Source organism: Homo sapiens, chromosome Y (assembly GCF_000001405.40).
Source record: "Homo sapiens chromosome Y, GRCh38.p14 Primary Assembly".
In the NCBI taxonomy this organism is placed as follows: Eukaryota; Metazoa; Chordata; class Mammalia; order Primates; family Hominidae; genus Homo; species Homo sapiens.
The window spans coordinates 5,689,094-5,715,345 of NC_000024.10; the positions used below are offsets into that span (position 1 = coordinate 5,689,094).

Sequence of the window (26,252 nt, forward strand, 5' to 3'; positions counted from 1 at the left end):
AGGCTGAGGCAGGAGAATCACTTGAACCTGGGAAGCGGAGGTTGCAGTGAGCCGAGATCGCACCATTGTACTCCAGCCTGGGTGACAGAGTGAGACTCAGTCTCAAAAAAAAAAAAAAAAAAAAAAACCAGAAAAAAGAAAGTATATGTTTGTTGAAATATAATATCTTGTGCTATTTTTACATGTTTCACATCAGTTTAACTGTGGTGGTAATCATTTAAATTTTGCAGGAGCTATAGTACATCAATGAACTTACATTCATATACTCTGTTGTTTTTACATGATAGAGTTTAAGTTCTACCATATGCAATAAAACATTTTGTCTACACAAGTGTACAGTTATATTTTTAATGTGCGTGTCTTGCTAGAACACATTTAATAGTAATCGTTGCCATATTTTGAAACTATATTAATCCATATTTTATGAAATACTGTTATAGTTTATCAAGAGAAAAATGATGTTTTGTTTAACATAAATTACTTGATCATATTAGTCTATTGAGCAACAGCTTGTAACCCCCGTGAATCAACGGAATTTCTAAACAGCTAAATGAGTCACTGTTACTGAGGTTGCTCCTTTGAGGTGCCATTACAAAACTGTAACTCTTCACTGTATGCAAAAGTAATTAGGTGATCTTACTGATCATTATAGCATTAGGGTAGGAGGGAGAGAGAAGATAATTTTTTAAATGTCATGAAATTTAATACTGGGAAACCTGCATATTTTAGCTTTATTTCAGCTCAATTTTCTAACTATGCCTACCCCAGGGTACTCCAGCATAATATTTTTACCTTCCAACTCTCAAACAGCTCAGTTGGTGAGAAGATTGTTAATAACCATAATGAGTTATTCTCTGTCATAATCTAAATCTATCTTCTCAAGTCCAATTATTTTTGATGAATATATTCTGCTAACTTGAGCTTGAATGGAAGCACTGTTCTATAATGAATTAACTATAGACATAGAAACGGTATTATGGGGAATGCATATTTAGAACATAAATAAGAAGAGAGAAAAAAGAATAAACACATAGATATGATTCATTTGAAGGCCTCTTTTTAAAAAATTGACATTTTTAAATTGAATTGTAAAGATAATAAAAAATATCTTTGATGAGTTTTTATAATTTATAGAAATTACCTTACATTGTTTTCAAATTGATGACAGAGCTAACTGAAAGGTTTTTGTAAAACCAGAATTAACCTTTACTTTTTATTCCTGGGCACAATATTGAATGAAGCACAGAATGAGTGTTTTAAATTAGCTCTCATTTGTTTTGATGACTGTTTTTTTCTGGGAAGAGCTTGATCACATGCTTACAATTTCCATTTATGTATTATAAGGAGCAATGTACGGCTGCTCTGTTTACTTTGTGACTTTGGCCAGGATACACAAACCTAATTACTATTTTTCATTAAGTTTTTAATTGCTATTAAATTAGTATTTTAGTAAAATAAAATTTAATTTATAAATTTAAGGTAAATACTTTAAAATAAAATAATATTTAGTAATTAAATATCGAATTAGTATTAAGGGAGATGAATTGGTGAAAAAATATGAAGTTGATATTTGATGATATAATAAGATGTAATAAAAGTGTGTGGAGTTTGTTGGAGCATAACTCAAAATTGTATGCAAAGAAAGCAGTCTGCGTTCTTTATTAACTATTTGGCATAATAAATATTGCAGGCTTACTTGAAGTCCCAGATACAAGAATTGCCGTAATGAGTCAGAATGATGTCGATTCTAAAAGAAAAGTGGTGCTGTATATGATCCAGTAATTTTATTTGATTTAGGCTAGGTTTAATAGGAATCCCTACTGAGAACTTGCTTATATTTATTGCAAGCTTCAACAGTTATTCACCACTATCACCATTCCTCAACTTTCCACCCTACTTCCTATGTTCTCAGCCTTTCTCTGTCACTAGGCTCAGTAGGAAGGAAGGATAAATGGCAAATGTTGGATGGGACCAATATTTAATAGGGTTGGTTAAATAGAATATTTGAAAATCATAATATTAAACAAATGAACAATGAAACAATAAAATTTTCAAACTGTGTTTGATATGTGGAAAAAATAACTAAATTAGGCCTTCAAATTAAACTTGATTATATATGTGTAGATAAAATGTAGAATGAATTGTAAATAACGTTCTGAAATGTGACTTAAAATGTCCTCTTTAACATTCTAATGCTGATTACATTAATTGTAATGTAGATTACAGTCACTGTGTGCTTTCATTAGAAATAAAGCTTAAAAACTAAGTCATGTCACTATGAAACTTCTTATTGCAAATTATAAATCAGAAGTTTCTCTGCCATAGTCATTGATTTTATTAGAGTTGAGAGCAGTTCTTAGTAGGCACGTCTTATGTAATGGATGTGAGCAGCGGAAAACTAGTAAATACATCTGAGAATTGCCCAGTTGTGGCTTATATTCTAAAGAGCAGGAAGAAAAGTAATAAACTGCTTGACTGTCTGACTGCTGATGACCAACTGCAAGACTGGTTGAATTTTATGAATTTATGTCTAAAATATAGGAGTACATTTTTTCAGCAGCCAAAATGTTATTACTATTTTATTTGTGTAGTATCTTAACTATCCTTTAATCTCATCAAATAGTGAAAAGTAAATTAGAAAAGTGAAAGGCAATTTTTAAAAAACAAACTGAGGGCTGGGCCCTGTGGCTGGCCAGGCGCAGTGGCTCAGCCCTGTAATCCCAGCACTTTGGTAGGCTGAGGCAGGTGGATCACTTGAGGTCAGGAGTTTGAGACCAGCCTGGCCAACATAGGGAAACCCTGTATGTACTGAAAATACAAAAATTAGCCAGGTGTGGTGGTGTGCACCTGTAATCCCAGCTACTTGGGAGGCTGAGGCAAGAGAATCCCTTGAATCTGGGAGGCAGAGGTTGCAATGAGCCGAGATCACGGCACTGCACTTTAGCCTGGGTGACAGAGTGACACTCCATCTCAAAAATAAATAAATAAATAAATACGAAATAAACAAGCTCAGGAATTTAGAGAATTAATTCATATTATTTTTCAGAAAAGATCTGAATGCAAGCTGTGATGAAATTCTGAAAAATTTTATTCTAACTTGAAACCAAAAATCATTCTACCTTCTGAATATGAATTGAATGCTTTTGAATGGGGAATGTACCACAATGCATGTTGTCCCTACTATCCCACAAGAGGAAATGGTAGTTAGACAAACGCTGTATTAGGAATGAGGAAAGTAGGGTTCTAGGCCTGCCTTTGCCATGATTTTTGAGCACTTGGGGAGGTGACTTTACTTTGCCTTGGTTTTCTATTCTGTAATATTACTAGATGACCCTTTAGGTGTCTTCAGTTCTTTTCAAGAAAGAAAAACAATCTTCAATTCATTTTAAGGGAATTGGTTTTGGAGGAAAAGCAATTGCCCTGACATTTATTGAACAGTCCATAATAAAGTAAAATAGAAAAAATAAAGAGCTATTATTCAGCATTATTCCCTTTATAAGGTCAACTAAAAACTGACAAACTCATGCTTGAGTTCTGAGTGGACACTCATTTAAAGTATCATGAACCATGTGCAGCAATTATAGTAGGATGGTAATACATATTTACACCAGTTCAGTTGTAAAAGAACTCTAAAGTTTTTACTTATGTTTGTAAAGAAATCAAAAAGCTATTTTAACCAAAAATCTTTTAAATAATTTTAATTACATAGACACTTCCATATTTATTTCATAAATACCCATTTTGTCTTTAAATTTTGCCAGTTTCATGGAAATAATAATAATAGAGTGTAACATAAAAATAAGGTAAAGTTTTGTAAGATCCTAATGTAAAGAAAATACTATAGGCTTTTCATAATTATAAATATGTGCTTAAGATGAGAATAACAGAGGCAGTCATGAGAATGTAAATTAGTCCTTTTTTATGCAGATTATCTTAGCTAAAATTGAACATTCCCTATTCCACAGAGAAAACTACAGTTTAAATGCATGTTCATGCAAAGTAAGGTAGTTTTTAATGCTGTTAGGTATGATTCGTGTGCCTCATTTAAGACTGAATGGCTTTTCCCGCAGAATTGTAGTATTTACAATGCATAAATCCTTTCTCATACTGCAAATACAGTGCAACCATTACCAACTTTGTGAGATAGGAATCCTTCCAAATTATTTCAGTAACAATGTGGGGAGTTAAGTGAATAACTTCCTCTTTTCTTTGGAAAACAGTTTCACTTTTAAGCACTAAAAGCATTCTTGTCATGCCCTGGGAAATAAACTTCCAATGCCATTAACTGTTCTGTCATATTGCAAATGGAGAGTCTGCTATTTCTTAAAATCAAGAATGAAAGTTTCAGCGAAATTAGTGAATGGTCATCTGACTAATTCTGGGGAGAAATAGTTACATTTTCTTTATATAAAAGATGTTCACTCTGATAATTTATGTTCAATTTATCAAGACCAACAAATGTGAAATACCTTCTTTATGTCGTATTAGCTCAGCTTGATAATACCCAAGTGCTAAGTTAATTACCGTAGTTATTAGAGTTTCATGGAGTGGAAACATGAAAATCCTTAGCCACAATTTAAATCACATTTTTAGGATGCTTATATATCTCCCAATACATGAAGAGAATATTTAGAAGACAAGAGAGCAATAATTCATTTTTTTCAAAATAATATAATAAACCCGTCAGTTAATTTTCAGTTATTGAAATGCCCTTCAAGTATTTTTAATATTGTCATCTAGTGGAATTAATTTAATTGTTGTTTCCTCATATCGAGTGCACAGGCATGAAGTGATTAGACTTACTAACTACTGGGCTAAGTAGTTGTTTATGTGATTTCAGTTATTGCACATACATTTACAAAAATTTGTTTTTGACAGTCAACTATATTAGATGTTTTGAGAGGTAGATGTTCTGCATTTGAAGATTACAAAAAATACTGTGTGTTTGGTTGGTAGTTTTTTTCACTTAACCCTTAGAAGTTTGGTTCAGCAGGCTAACATGAATACTTCAAAACTGAAAACATTTTGGAAAAAATGTCTCAAACATACGGTAATGCTATTATATGACTGTAAAAGTGCACTGCTTTTGGTATTTTAGATAAGTTAAATATTCCAGAATGCTTAAAATATAAGAAAAACAAGTATGCCGTTTTTCATCACTTCATTCTATTTGGTTTGCTACATTATTTTATTTGAAATCAATCATACTATATATATATTTACTTAAATTTGGGCATATGCATGTACGTGTAAGATAATTTTATGAGTACATTATGTACGTAAATAAACAAATGCATAGTTTGAATATATCATGGATAATTTAATTATTTCATCTATGCCAATCTGGTATTACAGGCTATGTTTTATTTCTATTTTGTTATTAATTAAATTACACTCTATTTAAATATTTTAACACCTTTCAGGGTTTGTTTTTAATTTTTAATAATTTTTATATGGTGAAAATTTGCTAATTTAAATTTTAAAAATTTAATAATTTTATATGGTGAAAAATTATTATAAATTATTGAAAATAAGGTGATGTGCAAAAATAGACTTTGTGGTCTTTTTCACTTTTGTCTTTTACCTTAGGCTACAATTGACTTTATAAAATAATATATTATCATAGGTTCATTAGTAAAGTGTGAGCTTATTATTCAAAAACTGTTGTCTACTATTATGTTTGTGTAGACTTATGACTGAAATGACTGATTGTAACTATAGATTAAATTCAATTGTTACCATATTTACTTACTAACTCAACTTCCTCATTCTTCCCAAATTCCAACAAATATATTTTCAGAACACAATGAATCCAATTAGCTTCACAGGTAAACTATACCAGTCTTTTGGGTCTGATCTGTTTTGTTGTTCCTTAACTTGACTCATCATTTCAACATATTGAAGCTTGTGACTCCTAGTATCATGCACTGACAAAAACTAGTTGGTCTTCCTAGAACGGAATTTTGTAGGTAACCTGGTGTATACACACACACACACACACACACACACACACACAGGTGCTATATATACATATATATAGGTGCTCCAGGGTTGGGTTCATGTATATTTAAAATCATTACATCCTCTTGCTGAACTGACCACTTCGTCATTATGCAGCGACTTTCTTTGTCTCTTATAGTTTTTGTCTTGATACCTATCTTGTCTTATATAACTGTTCTGCTCTTTTTTTTTTTATTTTCATTGGCAGGTATATTTTTGGCAGATATATTTTTCTATCCCCTTATTTCCTGGCTATGTGCCTTCATAGGTGTGTTTCTTTATAAGTGTGTTTCTTTTAGACAACAGATCAATGAGTCTTTTTTTTTTTCAATCCATTAAGCCATTCTATGTCTTTTCATTGGAGAGTTTAGTAAATTTACATACAATGTTATTATTGATAAGTAAAGACTTGCTCCTGCTGTTTTGTTATTAGTTTTCTTGTGGATTTGTGGCTTTTTCTTTCTTTTTGCTTTCCTGTATTTTGTTTATTGAAGGTGATTTTCTCTGGTGACACAAATTAGTTTCTTGTTTTTAACTTTTTGTGTATTCTTTGTATGCTTTTGGTTTGAAATTACCACGAGGCTTGTAAATATCATCCTATAAGTGATTATTTCAAGCTGATAATAACACTGTTTGCATGAACAAAAAAAGCACACAAAAAGAAAAGTAATAAAAACAATGCCTTAATTTTGTTTGCCTGTTTTTTTACTTTCTGTTGTTTCTATTTATATCTTATTGTACTGTCTATGTCTTGAAAGTTGTTGTAGTTATTATTTTTTATTGCTTCATCATTTAGTTTTTTACTTAGGAAAACAGTAGTTTATACACTACAGTTACAGTGTTATAATACTGTTTTAGCTGTGTAATTACTACTAGTAGTAAATTTTATACTTTCAGGTGATTACTTAAGGCTTATTATCTTTCTTTTCTTTCTGACTGAAATATTTCCTGTAACATTTCTTGCAGGGCAGTTCTGGTATTTATTATATTCTTTAGCTTTTGTTTTGTTTTCTTTGGATGATGTTGGTCTCATAGAATTAGTTGGGGAGTTGTCCCTCCTTTTCCATGGTTTGGAATAGTTTCAGAAAAAGTAGTAGCAGTTCTCCTTTGTACCTCTGGTAGAATTCAGCTGTAAATCCATCTGCTCCTAGACTTTTTTTGGTTGGTAGGTTATTTATTACTTTCTCAATTTTAGAACTCATTATTGGTCCATTCAGAGATTCAACTTTTTTCTGGTTCAGGCTTGGGAGGGTGCATGTGTCCAGAAATTTATCAGTTTCTTCTAGATTTTTCTAGTTTATGTGCATAGAGGTGTTTATAGTATTCTCTGATGGTTGTTTGTATTTCTGTGGAGTCAGTGGTGGTATCCCCCTTATCATTTCTGAATATGTTCATTTGAATATTCTATTTTCTTCTTTATTATTCTAGCTAGTGGTTTCTCTATTTTATTAACTTTTTTCAAAAAACCAGCTCCAAGATTAGTTGAGTTTTTGAAGAGATTTTTTTTTCTATCTTTTTCAGGTCCACTCTGATCTTAGTTATTTCTTGTCTTCTGCTAACTTTGGGGTTTGTTTGCTTTTGGTTCTCTAGTTCTTTCAGTTGTGATATTAGAATGTCAGCTTGAGATCTTTCTAGCTTTTCAATGTGGGCATTTAGTGCTGTGAAATGTTCTCTTAACATTGCTTTACCTATGTCCCAGGGATTCTGGTACATTATCTTTGTTCTCATTAGTTTCAAATAACTTAATTTCTGTCTTAATCTTCTTATTTACCCAGGAGTCATTCAAAAGCAGGTTGTTCAATTTCCATGTAGTTGTATAGTTTTGAGTGAGTTTCTTAATTTTGAGTTCTAATTTGATTGTGCTGTGGTCTGAGAGATTGTTTATTATAATTTCAGTTCCTTTGTACTTGCTGAGGAGTATTTTACTTCCAATTATGTGATCAGTTTTATAGTAAGTGCCATGTGGCAAAGAATGTATATTCTGTTGTTTTTGGGTAAAGAGCTCTGTAGATATTTATCAGGTCCACTTGATCCGGAGCTGAGATCAAGCCCTGAAAATTTTTGTTAATATTCTGTCTCAAGGATTGATCTAATATTGTCAGTGGGGTGTTAAAGTCTCCCACTAGAGTTGAACAATGAGAACACATGGACACAGGGAGGGGAACATCACACACTGAGGTCTATTGGGGGATGGGGGGCTAGGGGAGGGATAGCATTAGGAGAAATACCTAATGGAGATGATGAGTTGATGGGTGCAGCAAACCACCAAGACACGTGTATACCTATGTAACAAACCTGCACGTTCTGCACATGTATCTCAGAACTTAATGTATAATAAAAATAAATAAATAGATCTCTCACTATTATTGTGTGGGAGTCTAAGTCTCTTTGGAGGTCTCTAAGAATTTGTTTTATGAATCTGGGTGCTCTTGGATAACTAGCTCTTCTTGTTGATTTGAAGCCTTTACCATTAGTAATGCCCTTCTTTGTCTTTTTTGATTACTGTTTGTTTAAATAATCTTTTTTTCAGAAACTAGGATTGCAACCCCTGCTTTTTTCTGCTTTCTATTTGCTTGGTAATTTTTTCTCTATCCCTTTATTTTGAGCCTATGTGTGTCTTTGCATGTGAGATGGTTCTCTTGAATACACCACTCTGGTGGGTCTTGACTCTATCCACCTTGCCATTTTGTGTCTTTTAATTGGGGGATTTAGCCCATTTACATTTAAGTTTAATATGGTTATGTATGAATTGGATCCTGTCATCATGATGCTAGCTAGTTATTTTATAGACTTGTTAATGTAGTTGCTTCATAGTTTCATTGGTCTGTGTACTTCAGTGTGTTTTTGTAGTGGATCATAATGGTGCTTCCTTTCCATATTTAGTGCTTCTTTCAGTAGCTCTTTCAAAGGAGACCTAATGGTGATGAATTCCCTCAGCAATTGCATGTCTGAAAAGTATTTTATTTCTCCTTCACTTATGAAGCTTAGTTAGGCCAGATAAGAAATTCCGGGTTGGCAATTCTTTCTTTAAGAATGTTGAATATTGGCTCCCAATCTTTTCTGGCTTGTAGAGTTATCACTGAGAGGTCCTCTGCTAGTCTGATGGTCTTCCCTTTATAGGTGACCTGGCCTTTCTCATGGGCTGTCCTTAATATTTTTTTCCTTCACTTCCACCTTGGGGAACTGATGATTATGTGTCTTGGGTTTGATCTTCTCATGGAGTATCTTACTGGGGTTCTCCAGATTTCCTGAATTTGAATGCTGGCCTGTCTTGCTAGGTTGGGGAAGTTCTTCTGGATGATATCTTGAAGTATGTTTTTCAACTTGATTCCATTTCCCTCCTCTCTTTCAGGCACCCCAATCAGTTTTAGGTTTGGTCTTTTTACATAATTTGATAGTTCTCAGAGGTTTTATTCATTCCTTTTTATTCTTTATTTCTCTAATCTTGTCTGCCTGTCTAATTTTGGCAAGATAATCTTCAAACTCTGTATCTTTTCTTCTGTTTGGTCTATCCAGCTATTGCTACTTGTGGTTGAATTGTGACGTTCTTGTGTTTTTCAGCTCCATCGGGTCATTTGTTTTTCTCTCTAAACTGGTTATTCTGCATAACAGCTCCTGGAATGTTTTATCATGGTTCTTAGCTTCTTTGCATTGGGTTGGAACATACGTCTTTAGCTCAGCAAATTTCATTATTACCTACCTTCTGAAACCTACTTCTGTCAGTTCAGCCATCTCAGCCTCAGTCCAGTTCTGAGTGCTTGCTAAAGAGATGTTGTGATAATTTGGAGAGGAGGCACTGTGGCTTTTTGAGTTTTCAGCATTTTTGCATTGATTCTTTCTCATCTCCATGAGCTTATCTACCTTGGATCTTAGAGGCTGCTGAACTTTGGATGGAGTTTTTGTGGGGTCTTTTGTTGATGTTGCTGCTTTCTGTTTGCTTGCTTTTCTTTTAACAGTCAAGCTCCTCTTCTGTAGGGCTGTTGCGATTGCTGGGGGTCCACTCCAGACCCTATTCACCTGGGACACTCCCACACCTGGAGGTGTCACCAGTGGAGGCTGCAGAACAGCAAAGATGGCTGCCTGCTCCTTCCTCTGGGAGCTTTGTCCCAGAGGGGCACTGAACTTATGCCAGCTGGAATGCTCCTATATAAGGTGTCTGGTAACCCCTGTTGGAGCATCTCATACAGTCAAAGGGCATGAGATCAGGGACCCACTCAACAAAGTACCCTGGATGCCCCTTGGCCGAGTAGGTATTCTACACTGGGGAGGATCCCCCTCATCTGGACTGCCTGGACTTCTCAGAGCCAGCAGGCAGGAAAAACTAAGTCTGCTGATCCATGGAGACTGTGGCTGCCCATCTCATCAGGGGCTCTGTCTCAGGGATATCAGAGTTCTATCTGTAAACTGGCTGGAGGTGCTGAAATTTCGACAAGGAGGCCCGACTCAGTGAAGAGGGATGGATCCTAGTCCCATCTAAAGAAGTAGTCAGGCCATGATCTGCCACAGCCACTGTGCGGTGCTGTGGGGAATTTCTTCCGGTCCAAGCAGCCCAGTCTCCCTCTCACTGGCAGGGAAAAAAAAGCCTACTGAAGCTGCAGTGTTGGTGGTTGGCCCTCCCCCTGGGATCTCAGTCATTTAGGCACTCTCCAACCTGCTGCCACTGGCCACAACCCAAGTGGCTGCCGAGAGTCTGCACAGCTCTGTGCTTGGGACCCAAGTCCTTGGTAGCCTGGGCTCATGAAGGGATCTCCTGATCAGCAGGTTGCATAGATCCATGGAAAAAGTATGATTTCCCGAGTTTGGTAACACAATCACTCACTGCCTCTCTTGGGTGGAGGTGGGAGCTCCCCTTGCCCCGTGTGGCTCCTGGGTGGGCCATTGCTCAACCCTGCTTTTCCTCACTCTCTGTGGGTCATGCCAACAACCTAGTCAGTCCCAGTGAGAGAACCTGGATACTTCAGTTGAAGGTGCAGGATTCACTCACTGAGTTCATTTTTCTTGGTGAGAGCTGCTGACCACCATTTCTTCTAATCAGCAATCTTGACTTCTCCTCCATAGTAGGATTTTTTAACATGTTTCATTTTGCAATTGATAGAATAAATAGAGAAAAAAAATCTGTAAGAAATAGTGGGTCTAAACAATACCAACAAACACATTGACCTACTTGGATACTTATACATAGACAAACACTATATCCCAAAACTATAGAATATGCACCTTTTTTTAAGTGCACATGGTACATTAACCAAGGTAGACCATTGATATGTTCTGTCTGTGTCCCCACCCAAATCTTATCTTGAATTGTAGCTCCCATAATTCCCACATGTTGTGGGAGTGACCCAGTGTAGGATAATTGAGTAACGGGGATAGTTTTTGCCCATACTGCTCTCATGCTAGTGAATAAGTCTCATGAGATCTGATGGTTTTATAAGGGGAAAGCTCTTTCCCTTGGCCCTCATTCTCTCTTGCCTATTGCCATGTAAAACATGCCTTTTGCTTCCACCATGATTGTGAGGCCTCCCCAGCCACGTGAACTGTGAGTCCATTAAACCTCTTTTTCTTTATAAATTACGCAGTCTTGGGCATGTCTTTATCAGCAGTGTGAAAACGAACTAATACAGTAAATTGGTACTGAGAGTGGGGTGCTGCTGTAAAAATGCTTGCAAATGTGGGACATGACTTTGGTATTAAGTAACAGGCAGAGATTGGAACAGTTTGGAGGGCTCTGAAGCAGATAGAAAAATGTGGGAATGTTTAGAACTTCCTAGAGACCTAATGAATGGCTTCTAACAAAATGCTGACAGTAATATGGACAATAAAGTCCAGGCTCAGGTGGTCTCAGATGGAGATGAGGAACTTGTTGAACACTGGAGTAAAGGTGACTCTTGCTATGTTTTAGCAAAGAGACTGGTGGCATTTTGCCCCTGCCCTAGAGATTTGTGTAACTTTGAAATTGAGGGAGATAATTTAGGGTATCTGGCAGAAGAAATTTCTAAGCAGCAAAGCATTCAAAAGGTGACTTCAGTGCTGTTAAAAACATTCAGTTTTAAAAGGGAAACAGAGAATAAAAGTTCAGAAAATTTGCAGCCTGATGATTGATAGAAAAGAAAAATCCATTTTCTGAGGAGAAATTCAAGCCGGCTTCAGAAATCTGCATAAGTAACCAGGAGCCAAATGTTAATCCCCAAGACAACAGGGAAAATGTCTCCAAAGCATTTCAGAGACATTTGATCACAGACCTAAAGGCCTAGAAAAAAAAAATAGGTTTGTGGTCCCGGCCCAGGGTCCCCCTGTTATGCACAGGCTAGGGACTTGGTTCTCTGTGTCCCGGCTGCTCTAGCCATCCCTAAAAGGGACCAAGATACAGCTTTGGCCATGGCTTCAGAAGATGCAAGCCCCAAGCCTTGGCAGCTTCCACGTGGTGTTGAGCCTGTGAGTGCACAGAAGTCAAGAATTGAGGTTTTGGAACCTCCACCTAGATTTCAGAGTGTGTATGGAAATGCCTAGATGTCCAGGTAGAAGTTTGCTTCAGGAGCAGGGTCCTCATTGAGAACTTCTGCTAGAGCAGTGCAGAAAGAAAATGTGGGGTTGAAGCCCCCACACAAAGTCCCCACTGAGGCAGTGCCTAGTGGAACTATAAGAAGAGGATCACCATCCTCCAGGCCCCATAATAGTACATCCACCAATAGCTTGCACCATGCACTGGGAAAAGCCACAGACACTCAACACCAGCCCATGAAAGCATCCAGGAGGGAGGCTGTACCCTGCAAAGCCACAGGGGTGGAGCTGACCAAGACTATGGGAACTCACCTCTTGCATTAGCGTGACCTGGATGTGAGACATGGAGTCAAAGGAGATCATTTTGATGCTTTAAGATTTCACTGCCCCACTGGATTCTAGAATTGCATGGGGCCTGTAGTCCCTTTGTTTTGGCCAATGTCTTCCATTTGGAATGAGTGTATTTATCCAATGCCTATACTCCTGTTGTATCTAGGAAATAGCAAACTTGCTTTTGATTTTAGTCTCATAGGTGGAAGGGACTTGCCTTATCTCAGATCAGACTTTGGACTGTGGATTTTTTTTTTTTTTAGATGGATTCTCTCTCTGTCGCCCAGGCTGGAGTGCAGTGGTGTGATCTCGGCTCACTGCAACCTCCGCCTCCCAGGTTCAAGCGATTCTCCTGCCTCAGCCTCCTGAGTAGCTGGGATTACAGGCATGCACCATCATGCCTGGCTAATTTTGTGTATTTTTAGTAGAGATGGGGTTTCTCCATGTTGGTCAGGCTAGTCTCGAACTCCCAACCTTAGATGATCTTCCTGCCTTGGCCTCCCAAAGTTCTGGGATTACAGGCATGAGCCACTGCACCTGGCCTTGGACTGTGGACTTTTAAGTTAATGCTAAAATGAGTTAAGACTTTGGGGAACTGTTGGGAAGGCATGATTGGTTTTGAAATGTGAAGACATGAAATTTGGGAGGGGCAGGGGAGAAACGATATGGTTTGGCTCTGTGTTCCCACCAAATCTCATCTTGAATTGTAGCTCCCATAATTCCCACGTTATGGGAGGGACTCAGTTGGAGACAATTGAATCATGGTGGCAGTTTCCCCCATACTATTCTCATGGTAGTGAATAAGTCTCACAAGATCTGATGGTTTTAAAAGGGGAAACCTCTTTTGCTTGGCCTTCATTCTCTCTTGCCTGCTTCAGTGTAAGATTTGCCTTTCACTTTTTGCCATGATTGTGAGGCCTCCTCAGCCACGTGGAACTGTAAGTTTATTAAACCTCTTTTTCTTTATAAATTACTGAGTCTTGGGTATGTCTTTATCAGCAGCATGAAAATGCACTATTACAACTATTTTCTAGGTTATTAAAAAACTTATTGAATTCAAATGAATTGAAAGCACACAGAATATGTTTATTTATGTTAATGGAATTAAAATATAAATAATAAGCTGTCTTGGAAAAATCACAATATTTGGAAATTAAACAATATACTTTGATGAGACAATGATGAAATAAAAAAGTAAGAAAATATTTTAAATGGAATTGTAATAAAAATAAAATATATCAAAATTTATGGGATGCAACTAACTAAAACCGTGTCCAGAGTAAATATTAAAACTTTAAATAATTATATTAGTGATGAGGGGAAATCTAAAATTAGTGTTGTAAGATTTTACATTAAGAAGCTGGAAAAATAAGTGCAAAATAAACCCAAAGCAAGGATAAAGAAATTATGAATTTCTCAACAATATAGAAAACAAATATTTGAGAAAATTAACAAGCCAAATGTTCATCTTTTGAAATATTTAATAAAATTTGATATACCCTCAGCTAGACTGATCAAAAAATATATGAAAGCAAAAATCACCATTATCAGTAATAAAAGACAGTATCTTCTCAGATCCTACAGATGGTGAAAAGATCATCAGAAAATAATTATGAACAACTTTTTCCCAAAGAAATTAAACAATTTAGAAGAGATAGACAAATTTATTGAAAGGCAGGAGCTACCAAATCTCTCTCAAAAGGAAGATACATAATCGAAATAGTTCTGTGTTTATTAAAGGGATTAACTTTGTTGTTAAAAATATTCCCCTAAAGAAAACTCCAGTTCTAGATGGCTTCTCAGGTGAAGTTTGGCAAATATTTATGAAAGAAAGGATAACAATTCTACATAAGTTGTTTTCAAAAAATACAAGTGGAAAGTAATCATGACAACTCATTTTTAAGGCCAGCATTATTCTCTTTTTTTCCTTTTTTTTTTTTTTTTGAGACAGAATTTTGCTCTTGTTGCCCAGGCTGAAGTGTAATGGCACAATCAGGGCTCACCACAATCTCTGCCTCGGGGGTACAAGTGATTCTCCTGCCTCAGCTTCCAGAGTAGCTGGGATTACAGGCGTGTGCCATCATGCCCAGCTAATTTGTATTTTTAGTAGAGGCAGGGTTTCTCCATGTTGGTTATACAGTCCCATGGGCTGTACAGGATGCAGGATGCTGGCATCTGCTGGGTTTCTGGGTAGACCTCAGAAAGCTTACAATCATGGCAGAAGGCAAAGTGCAGTCAGCACTGTACATAACTGGAGCAGGAAAGGGGGGTGCTACACACTTTTAAACAAGCAGATCTCACTCACTATCACAAGAACAGCATCAAGAGGATGGATTAGCGCATTCATGAAGGATTCATCCCCGTAATCCGATCACCTCCCACCAGGCCCCCTGCCTCCAACACCGGGGATTACAATTCCACTTGAGATTTGGGCAGGGTCACAGATCCAAACCATATTAATTGTCCTTTCCAAATTCAAAAGCCAAATGTAAATAGTGCTTTCTTTTTTTTCTTTTTTTTTTTTTTTGGGACAGAGTCTCGCTCTGTCGCCCAGGCTGGAATGCAGCGGTGCTATCTCGGCTCACTGCAAGCTCCGCCTCCCGGGTTCATGCCATTCTCCTGCCTCAGCCTCCCGAGTAGCTGGGACTACAGCGCCCACCACCAAGCCTAGCTAATTTTTTGTATTTTTGGTAGAGACGGGGTTTCACTGTGTTAGCCAGGATGGTCTCGATCTCCTGACCTCATGATCCACCCGCCTCGGCCTCCCAAAGTGCTGGGATTACAGGCGTGAGCCACCGCGCCCGGCCAAATAGTGCTTTCTGAAGAATACTTTGAATCACTAAACCCAAAGCATGAGAACATTTTGCATCAAATGTGATATCAAAATTGAGTGCATTATTTCAATAATACCCATAATATCATAAAATATAAAATGATGAATTAAAAGTTTGGCTTTTCTGTACATTGTATTTTAACTTTGGATAGCTTTGGGTGTTTAAAAATACTTTACAGTTACATGATAAAGAATAGTATGTAACATAATATTCAATAATATTATTCATGGGTTATTTTTAGTTGCTAAGGTAATTCAGAGGCTTTTAAAAAATAACAGGACTTAATTGCAATATTCATCAAATACTACTTCTAAAGAAGAAAAATAGACTTTCTACTGCCTATTGCTGACTGAACCAGTGTAAGGTGGTCATTACACTCATTTTACTGATGTGGCAATAAACTGATAATACAAAAAAATGCTACACTTACTGGTTAATTAGAAATCCTACAGCAAATTAAAGTCACTTGTCATTGTTTAATGGTTGTTGATATCATGAGCTCTGTATTGCTGTACAGGCAGCATTTTAAAAAACAAAGAATATTTTTGTGCCACTGAGGACAGTTTGTTTCATTGACCGAGAATTGTGTTTTTTTCAACATTTTATTCTAATTGCAATCCTAGATTAGTAATAACAATTTGTTTAAACCTGATCTTTGTTAAACTAGGTAACCTATTTAATTTAGACTTCAAATCATATAAGAGTAAGACTATGGAAACTTGAATAATTTAACCTAAAATACAATTATGGAACTATGGATTGATTAATGGTCTGGTGTAGAATAAACATACTTTATTAACATAAAGTATAGCTGTATTTATACCTATAAAGTAGCAACATTTAATGATACTTTCTTAGAAAGTCCCCACACTCACCAAGTTCTTGTCTGCCTACCTATGTAGGTTCCAAATTACTAACTTGGTGATGATCGCTTAATTAAATTGGTGTCCAGCAAATTCCAGTAGATATTGTAGAAATATTAGGTGAAAATGGGATTACTCATCTTATGGTATTTTTTCCTAGTGTATCCTTTGGCTGCTCTGGTTAGTTCACATGAATAGATGGAAGTTATCAGTCTTCACAGATTATTCCCAACAAGACAGAAGTTAGTCACACAAGTCTCTAATAAAAAGTTAAAATCTTGATTGAATATTTCAAATAACTCAGCTATGCATTTGTACCACATTTAACTAAACACTGATGTGTCAGACCATTAGATGAGTCATATATTTCTCATTTATTGTTTTGAAAAGACCAAATTATGAACTCTACACAGAAGCCTTTTTTTTTTTTTTTTTTTGGCTGAAATTAGCATATCAGTTACAACCTGATACAGCCCTAAAACACAATATTGACAGTCTTCATTGGGGCAATTGGGAAGCTGCTGAAAGTGCAAGAGATCAAAAAGAGAGATCAAAAGCAATTTTACAGCATCTTATTTCTTTTCATGAGAGTTCAGCTTAGAACATTAATCAAATAGTGTGTATAAGACCTTTATCATACGAAATTTGCTATCAGAGATTAACAGATACATTAAATGGAACAGTTTGACTGGAAATATTTGTATAATGAACATTCAATTCTGCTTCGGCATGACATTAAGAAAAACGTCTTTAAAATATATATTTACTCTCAAATTGATAGCGATTAGAAAATAATAAGGAGCATCAGCAGAGTGCATTTAATCATGTCTGTGAACCTGATATCTGAATTTTGAAAGACTGGGATTTTCTCTATTACTTAAAACATATTCTACATCATCCAATTAAAAATGTGATTTAATAGATAGTTCTCAAAAGTAATCTAAAGGTTAAAAACATATAAGCATTTAGAAAGTAGAAAAATATTTGTCCAAATGAATTTAATATCATAAGAGCAAATTTTCCTTCTGAGCCAAAACAGATGAATTATGCTCTGACAGTGATCTTTATTGAATTGTGCTAAAATATATTTCGATATACTGTAATTTTTTCTGACTTCTTCTCAGTAAATGCAGATGGCAACAGTTCACTTGTAAATGGTTTCGAAGAAGAGATATTGAAGTAATATTCTCTGAAATCTATTCTTTGCAGATAGCTATTTCTATTACTCTGCTGTATATTCCATCTTCTCAGTGTACTCCATTGATGTGTGTGTTGCCAGAATTTTTGTCCATCATTTAAATAGTAATTTCATTTCAAGTTTCCTTTTCATCATGATAAAATGATCAACTATATGACTGCATCACAATTTTCCTAGGGAAGCATTACTGTGATATTCACAGAGTAGTTTGCTACTGTGTGAGAGGCTAATATATTTCTCTAGGAAGAATATTCAATTCATAAAAATTAAATGTTATTAATGAGTTACAGAAGCCCTCAGAGAATGTTGTTTAAAGTATAATTAAATTGAACCTCGCTAATTCACAATGCATGTTATTTTGAACCTGCATTGAGTTAATTTGTGATGGTCCCATACTTTCTTCTTGAAAAATAGTTTTTAAGATAATTAAATGGGGTTGGTATTTAAGAAAGACTGTACAGTGTACTAAAAAATATATATTTAAAATAATATTTTAGCAACATTCATTCACATCGAAATCCTGAAAATGTTTATTACACTTCTGTCCTTTGTGCATTGTTTAAAATTGATTTACTAGTGGTTGGTGGATTTTCATATACTTGTGTGTGTGTGTGTATATATATATATGGATGTACATATATATGTTTGTGTGTGTATATGTGTATATATATACATATAATTTAACAAAGAGCTTGAAATAATTAAAAGGAATCAAGCAGAAATTTTGGAGTTGAAAAATACAATTGTCATACTAAGAAAGCATTAGTCTTTTAATAATAGAATTGATCAAACAGAAGAGAGAATTAGTGAGCCTGAAGACAGACTGTATGAAAATACACAGAGAAGAAAGAATAAAGAATAAATAATAAAAAACAATAAAACACGCCTACAGGATTTAGAAAATAGCCTCAAAAGAGCACATGTAAGGGGTATTGGCCTTAAAGAAGAGGTAGAGAAAATGAAGAGGGTAGAAAGTTTATTCAAGGGGATACTATTTAATAACAGAGAACTTCCCAAACTTAGAGAAATATATCAATATCCAAGTATAAGAAGGCTGTCGAACACCAAGCAGATTTAACACAAAGAAGACGACCTCAAGGCATTTAAGAATGAAATGTCCAGTGGTCAAGGACTAAAAAAAAGATCCTAAAAGCACCACAGGGAAAAAGAAAATACAATGGAGCTCAAACATCTAGAAGCAGACTTTTCAGTGAAAACCCTACAGGCCAGGATAGACTGGTAAGACAAATTTGAAGTGCTAACAGGAAAAAAAACAAAACAACCAACAACAACAACAAAGAAAACCCTTCTACCCTAGAAAAGTATGTCTGGTTAAAAATATTCTTCAAACATGAAGGAGAAATAAAGACTTTTATAAACAAACAGAAGCTGACATATTTCATTAACACCAGACCTCTCCTACAAAAAATGCTAGAGGGTGTACTTGAATCAGAAAGAAAATGATATTAATAAGAAATCATTTGAAGGTACAAAACTGACTAGGAATAGTAAATGCACAAAAAACCGGAATATTATAACACTGTAACTGTGGTGTGTAATCTACTTTTAAGTAGAAAGACAAAATGATAAACCTGTCAAAAATAATAATTTAGCAACTTTTCAAGACATAAACAGTACAATAACATATAAATATTAACAACAAAAATTTGAAAAGCAGGGGACAAAGTTAAAGCATATAATCTTTATTAGTTTACTTTTTGCTTATTTGTTTATGCAAGTACTGTTAAGTTTTTACCACCTTAAAAAATGAGGTATAAGATAGTATTCGCAAGCCTCATGGTAATCTCAAACCAAAAAACATACAATGGATACACAAAAAATAGAAAGCAAAAAGCTAAATCATATCATCAGGGAAAATCACCTTCATTAAAATGAATGAAGCTGCCTTTCTAAAAATTGTTATCAGTGAGACAATTACAAAAGTGAACAAGATCTGAGCTAATCTACCCCCCCATCTTACCTTTCCCTTAATTATTCCTGGGCTATTAGTACAAGGTAACTTTGAGAGACATTTAGTCTGTTGTTTAAATGATAATAGGTCTTACCCAAAACTCAACAGGGCTTTTGTAAAGCTAATGGGAGGCCATCAGTCTAGGCTGAGGAGAGGAGCCGAGTCCTGCTGAGGCGCAGACATGAAAGATTTTCGGCCATTAATCTAAAGATTATAAGATCTGCAGCTTCCCCAATTATTCCGCCGATAACACCACTATTGTAGATTGGCCTTTTAAGATATATTTTTCTTTTTTTTTTTTGCATATCTGACACCCATGGCTCCACCTGGACCAACCAACCCCACCCAATTCATCCTGCAAGAGGACAGCTATGACCCTCTATGATTTCGTTTCCACCCCAAGCAATCAGCAATGAGCACTCATTACCTGGCCACCCCCACCCCTTTCCCCAAAATGCCTTTGAAAAACACCTAACTGATGAGCTTTGGATGAGATGATTTGAGTATAAACTCTGACTCCCACATGGGGTGGCTGGCATCATGTCTATTAAACTCTTTCCTGCAATGGCATGGTCTTTCTTTATGCAGCAGGCAGGAAGAACCTCTTGGGAAGTTATAAATTTGGGGGCTCATCTGGGATCCCCTGACCACAGTTTGTTAGTCCCCCCACCAGAATGAGGAACACAGAGGTGATCTCTGGCAGCTGCTTATTTAACTGAAGCCTATCTCTGGTGCTGTCTCTGCTGATGAGGTGCTGTTGACCCACAGGGCTTGGGCCTAATTGCAGTGGAGAAATAGTCTGGAACCTACCTGGTGAACATGCTAGGCACTACCATCACCTCCACCCTTCCCCTGATCTATTGGCCTTACTAAGATGCACTGTAGCCCTGTCACAGGGACTGGCCCTATCACAAGGATTTTCAGATGGGGAAACTATCTCCTCAGTTGGGTGAAGAATATGGGACTGTTTGAAGGAATGCTCCTCTGGTCTGGAATCGGTTTGGAAGGCCTTCTGTTCATCTTTGTTGTGTGTGTTTGTATTTGTGGATGGTATCTCTGAAGAAATTGCTGATGAAAGTCCAGCAGGCTTAACTCAGAGAAGCCTCCTTATTTGTCTGGTCACATTTGGTAAGCCCTGAAGCAATTGTTAGTGGAAGTCAACAGGCCTGACTAGGGGTGATTATCCCCTCTTCAAATTGCCCTACACTACCCATTGAATTCTCAGTCAGAGGTCCCTCCTCACTTTGAATGGATCAAAGAAAACAGGGAGCAAAGGAAATTGGTCAATATTGGGTGTTCAGCAAGGTGACTAATGTCTGTCCCTTTTGTTATGTGTATTTTGTGACAGCTGGGATGGAAAATGTTAATTTGGTTCCCCCAATGAGGTTTCCCCATGCAGCCCATTGGGTGGCATCTTGCAAAATTAAGAGGCTTTTGCCTAAGGCTCCATGAAATGGAAAAAGGTGATTTTCCTTTGTGACTATAGTGCAGTGAGCAGGGTCGCCAGGGCCCCAAGGGAAAGGGAACTTGGAAAACTGGCATGCCAGCAAAAGAAATAGAATGAATTTCTTACCAATCAGGCTTCTGGCTCCTCTCTCTCTTTGTGCAAACCAGTTGAGTGATCTGTAAAAATCACTGTTTATTAATGAGAAAAAGGATTTGTGAGGCAAGTCTGAGACTGTAGTGAATCTGGTGTACCTTGCACTATGAATTAGTCTTTCTATGCCATTCTGTCATAAAGAGGGGTACCGCAGAATAGAATGTGTATTTAGGACCCCTATCAGCTTGCTACTCAAGCCAGCCCGGCAGGTTCGTCAGTTACAAACTATGCTACAGATCCCTGGAGCAAAAACTAGATAAAGGTTTCTTCTTGTCTTGCTTTACATCCTTGAGAGCATGACTTTATGACTATGTGGGGTACTCTCTTTTGGGCCTGTACCATCTGGAGGGCTGGAATATTTGAGTTTATGTCAGGTAGCCAGTCTGAGAGGACAAGCGGTCTGAGATGAATCAGCATGTTCTTCATCCTGAATATGCCAAGCCCCTGGGTGAGCTTTGTCTTAAAAGTCCTCATCTTTGTTGGGATTTTATCATCTTTTGCTATCTTAAGCCCATTTCTGAAAGTAAATTCTTGGGAATCATGGGGATCATGGGGATTATGGAGATATCTCCTCTACTCTCTTTCTGGAAACACCTTTTGCTGATATGGTAAAAGCCTGGAAATTTGAGATCTAGACTTTACCAGACTTTTTGAATTGAGTCGCTATTGGAACTGAGGATACCATTAAAAGAAAAAGGTTAAATTAAAAGAAGGATCCATAATAATAACATGGTTCCTGAGCAGTTAAAATCCTTTGCAAGCTTGAAAATGTTCAAGACTCCCTCAGGGAAGAATAACAGCAGTCACCTTTGCTCTGGGTCAGTTGCTAACTCTTTACCCTCTCCAATTGGTGGCCTGGGTTCAGTTTTGGCTTTGGAGTGAGTCCTTTGAGGTTTAATACTTGTAGAAATTTTGCCATTTATTGATATTTTTTCCCTCCATGGAGAGCTTCTGGTCTTGAATTTTCTTTTATCTGAACTACCTTTGGGGAGATTCTAGATCTTGTAAAAATCACTTACCATTTCTTTGGAGACGCCTCGTGTGCCTGTTGCTAAGCTGTCCCCTTAGTAATGGCTTATTGATTTCACATAGGAGGTTACCTTTAGTAAAAAAGATTCAAGGCCAGGCGCACTGGCTCACGCCTGTAATCCCAGCACTTTGGGAGGCTGAGTTGGTCAGATCACCAGGTCAGGAGATCGAGACCATCCTGGCTAACATGGTGAAACCCCATCTCTACTAAAAATACAAAAAATTAGCAGGGCTTTGTGGCATGCACCTGTAGTCCCAGGTATTTGGGAGGCTGAGGCAGGAGAATCGCTTGAACCGGGGAAGCGGAGGTTGCAGTGAGCCGAGATCACATCACTGCACTCCAGCCTGGGTGACAGAGCAAGACTCTGTCTCAGAAAACAACAACAACGAAAGATTCAAATGCCAGAAATATTGGCTATTTATCCTGGCTAAAATAAAATATTTTAAAAGGATTTTTCTTTGGAGAGCTCCATAGATAATGGAGCTATATGCATGCAGATGTTGTTTTAAAGTCCCTGCCCTGCCTTTAAACACTTCTCAGTTGATGGAACTCTGTCTTGATTCTCTGTTTCTGTCTGTGTGTGTATCTACATGTATATATGTAGTGTTTATTTAAAAGAGCTCTAATGAATTGGCTTAATGAATAATAAGCGCTTAGATCAAATTTCAGAAAGAAACTTTAACATGTTTTAGGTCATGTGACTGATAATCTTTGAAAAATAAAGACAGTTAAAAGATTACTGGTAAACTAAAATAAAAATGTTTTTAAAGTTTATACATTTGGTGTAAATTAGGCAGGTCAGATATGGTTTGCTAGATGCTTTAAGGTAATAAACGGCTTCTATGACTTTTAATAATTGTTGATTTGTCTGTTTTACAGTCATTAGATTCTAAATAAGGTCTGGAGACATACAGAGTTAGCCAGATTCCCTGGCTAGGCTGGGAAGAGTCAGACATTGTATGCAGCTTTGTCTTTGTCATGGGCTCTGCAATGTTATACGTGGTTAAAATTGCTTGCTTACCAGGTTTTTTACCAAAACTAAAAGTTGCTAAGGGTTAACAGCATAGCATGTACTTGAGACTACTGGAAAAACAATTTTACATTCATGTTGTGAAAGGAAAGTAGAATTTGTTTTTGGTAAGAGGTTATAAGAAGGCATGGGAATTTTTGTTGTTGTTGTTAAAGGGCATGTAATTTTGTCTAGCTCAGAAGTTTAAAAAAAAATTTCTTAAAAGAGTAATGGGACAAAACAAATTTGAAGCAAGTTGCAAAGGGTTTGTGAAGGATTGATCTTGTAAATGAAGTTCTGTGGGTGTTAACAAATGGCTAAAATTTGAAGGAGATGATCTAGTTTTTCTGTAGGTTAAACATTAAAATAAAGTACACTAATGGTGGGCAAGAATCTGTGCCCATGTGTCTGAATAACATGTTTTTCTTAGAGAATGGACCTGCTGTTTAAGAGAAAATTGTAAAGAGTTATAAGAGGTTTCTGAAAATTTTACCTCATGGTCAAACTGATTAAGATGGTATAGATTTGTTTGTAAGATTTTATTAATAATTGGGTTTAACATCTATAAGACATGAATGCAAAGGTGAGATTTTGTGCTCTCTTTTAAACAATATTTTAGTGTATTATGAAAATATTATAAAAGATTTTTGTATGCCTTTTGAATAAACGACAGAAATTAGAGGGGGGAGAGAGAAGACATCCAGTTGTTTTCAAGCTGTCTTTATTGAGTCCTGTTTGGAAAGCTGAATCTCCCCTCTATCAGCAAGTAAAGAATTTTGCTTTTAAAATTTTCTTTAGTTATCCTTTTGGGCTAAATAAATGACTTACAGTTACTTGGGATTTGTTTTGTAATATCAAGTGTTTAAACATTTGATATTTGACAAACTTTCCATGGTCAAATTGTAAATTAAGCCCTTTTTTGATCTAATCAGGCTTTAGGAGCAGATATTAAATACTCTAAAGTCCAAAAGAGATATATTTGGCTTATTTGGTATATCAAAATCATACAGGAAGCATTGTCAAGTAGAAAATTGTGTTTGGCTTTCTTCTTTGGGCTGTATTTGCATAAATGTGTTATTGGTGTGTGTTCCAGAATTGTGTGAGATTCTTGTAATTCTGATATGTCTCAGTATATGTTTTTAGTAATAATTATGATTGTTATGTTATTATGTGCCACAGAGATGACCAGACTTTAATCATGGCTGTTTTGAGACTTTTTTCAGCCACAGTTGTTTTATTTTGATTTTTTTCAGGTTGGTTTTATAATCAGCTATAGGACTCTGACGGGTGCACTTGAATGCAGGTTTGTGATAACTTTGGAGATTGTGACATTAAAATAGAAGAAAGAACTTCCAAGACTCCCATAGGGAGCTAATGTGTATGAATATCAAGCAGAACAGGAATTAATTACATAGACTGAATTAATGAAAAACCAAAATAATCTTCCTACGAATTTGTTTAAAACATTGCTAATTTTTTTTTTTTGTTTTGGAGTCCAGCAAACCTTTTTTTTTTCTTGTGAGATATCTACAGCTTTAAATAATTTGGTAAAGTACCCTCCTGTGAGCAAAATCTGAAGCATATTTCTCTCTCCCTGATTTCTCCAGAACTTGAAAACTATTTCCAAGTGTACTTAATTTATGACAGGTATAGTTATTTGCATAAGTTCGATAAGAATCTTTTTTCTTTTGTAACAGGAAAAAATTGGAGACACTGGTTATTTTACCATGGCATTGAATGAAATGGCATACTTTTAGATTCTTTTAAGGAGTCAAAGTTGACTTATAGAGCCAATAAAAGTCCCTTGGGAAAACTGACCTCGTAACTTGTCTACACAGTCCCTGTTTAGGGGTCCTGCCATGTGGTAAGTAAAGAATGTCACTTCCTGACAGGCCCAAAAAGCCGAAATTATCTTGGCACCTTGAGGTGAGAAATTCACCCAATTAATACAGTTATTTGTAAGCATAGATAAATCTGTGGCTACACTTAAAGGCTTTAAAAAAGTTTAATCTAAGATTTCCTATGGAATAAAATTCCAGCAATGCGAATTTAAAAAGGGACTGTGTGGTAAATAATTATTCTTGCTGACTTTATGCAAATACTCAGGCCAAGTATAGTAAGACTAAAACTTATTTTACAAATAAAGTAGTCTTGCTGTGATTTGTTTTTAGTAAAAACAAGGATTGGAGAGAGAAAAATTATATTTCAGAAAAAACTATAGTACACCTCTTATTACATTCTAGTCCCCTATTTTGAGTTTTTATAATTTTCTGCAACTTGGAATGAATACTAAATTCTTTCCAGACTACAAGTCTCCATACTAATGCTTTCAAAGTTTTGTTTCCTTTTTCTTTTTTGACTTGGCCTCAATAAAATTGTCACTACCTCTTTCCTGAGGCCCTGTAAGTTAAAGCTTATTGCTTGTAATACAGGAGAGAGAAAAATGTGTCAGATTGTTACTACTGTCCTCCTCTATACCTAAAGATGCTTTAAATCTAACACCTGGATAAATTGTACCCAACATTAACCTTTGTTTTTCTTCTGTCTCTATAAAACTGCCTCTTATTAAAATTAGTTTGCCTTCATAAAATAGAGAGGTCTAGCCAATCTGAAGTGCTACCTCCTCATGTGGGAAACAGCTGTTTAACTGAGCTGATCTAGTCTCGGGACTTAGACACTGACTCAAAAGATATTCAACTATACCGAAGATGGTATATTTAATTTGCTCTTTCCTGTTTATCCCAATCTGTCTTTCTAACAACCTATGGTTTGTTGTTCACTTAAGTGCTGTATTAGAACTGTGGGTGAGAATATTAATGTTTTTGTCATACACCAGTGAGTACACGCAGATGGCTGCAAAGCAGCGGTTTTACTCATATTCTCCTGGGACCAACCTCCCCCAATTGTACCACCCGTCA

At 36.2% G+C, this 26,252-nt stretch overlaps 1 protein-coding gene across 5 annotated transcripts in view, besides 1 other annotated feature; it reads left to right on the forward strand.

Moving 5' to 3' along the window:
• PCDH11Y (protocadherin 11 Y-linked) overlaps positions 1-26,252 on the forward strand; it is a 741,933-nt gene that overhangs the window by 688,798 nt on the left and 26,883 nt on the right. The gene's annotated exons all lie outside the window — the stretch shown is intronic.
• Positions 20,434-21,394: an enhancer, noted in NCBI's record as "OCT4-NANOG hESC enhancer chrY:5577568-5578528 (GRCh37/hg19 assembly coordinates)". NCBI's record gives its function as "activates a minimal SCP1, AML or CMV promoter by ChIP-STARR-seq in naive and primed H9 embryonic stem cells {active_cell/tissue: H9 hESC(naive and primed)}" and the evidence as "EXISTENCE:reporter gene assay evidence [ECO:0000049][PMID:30033119]".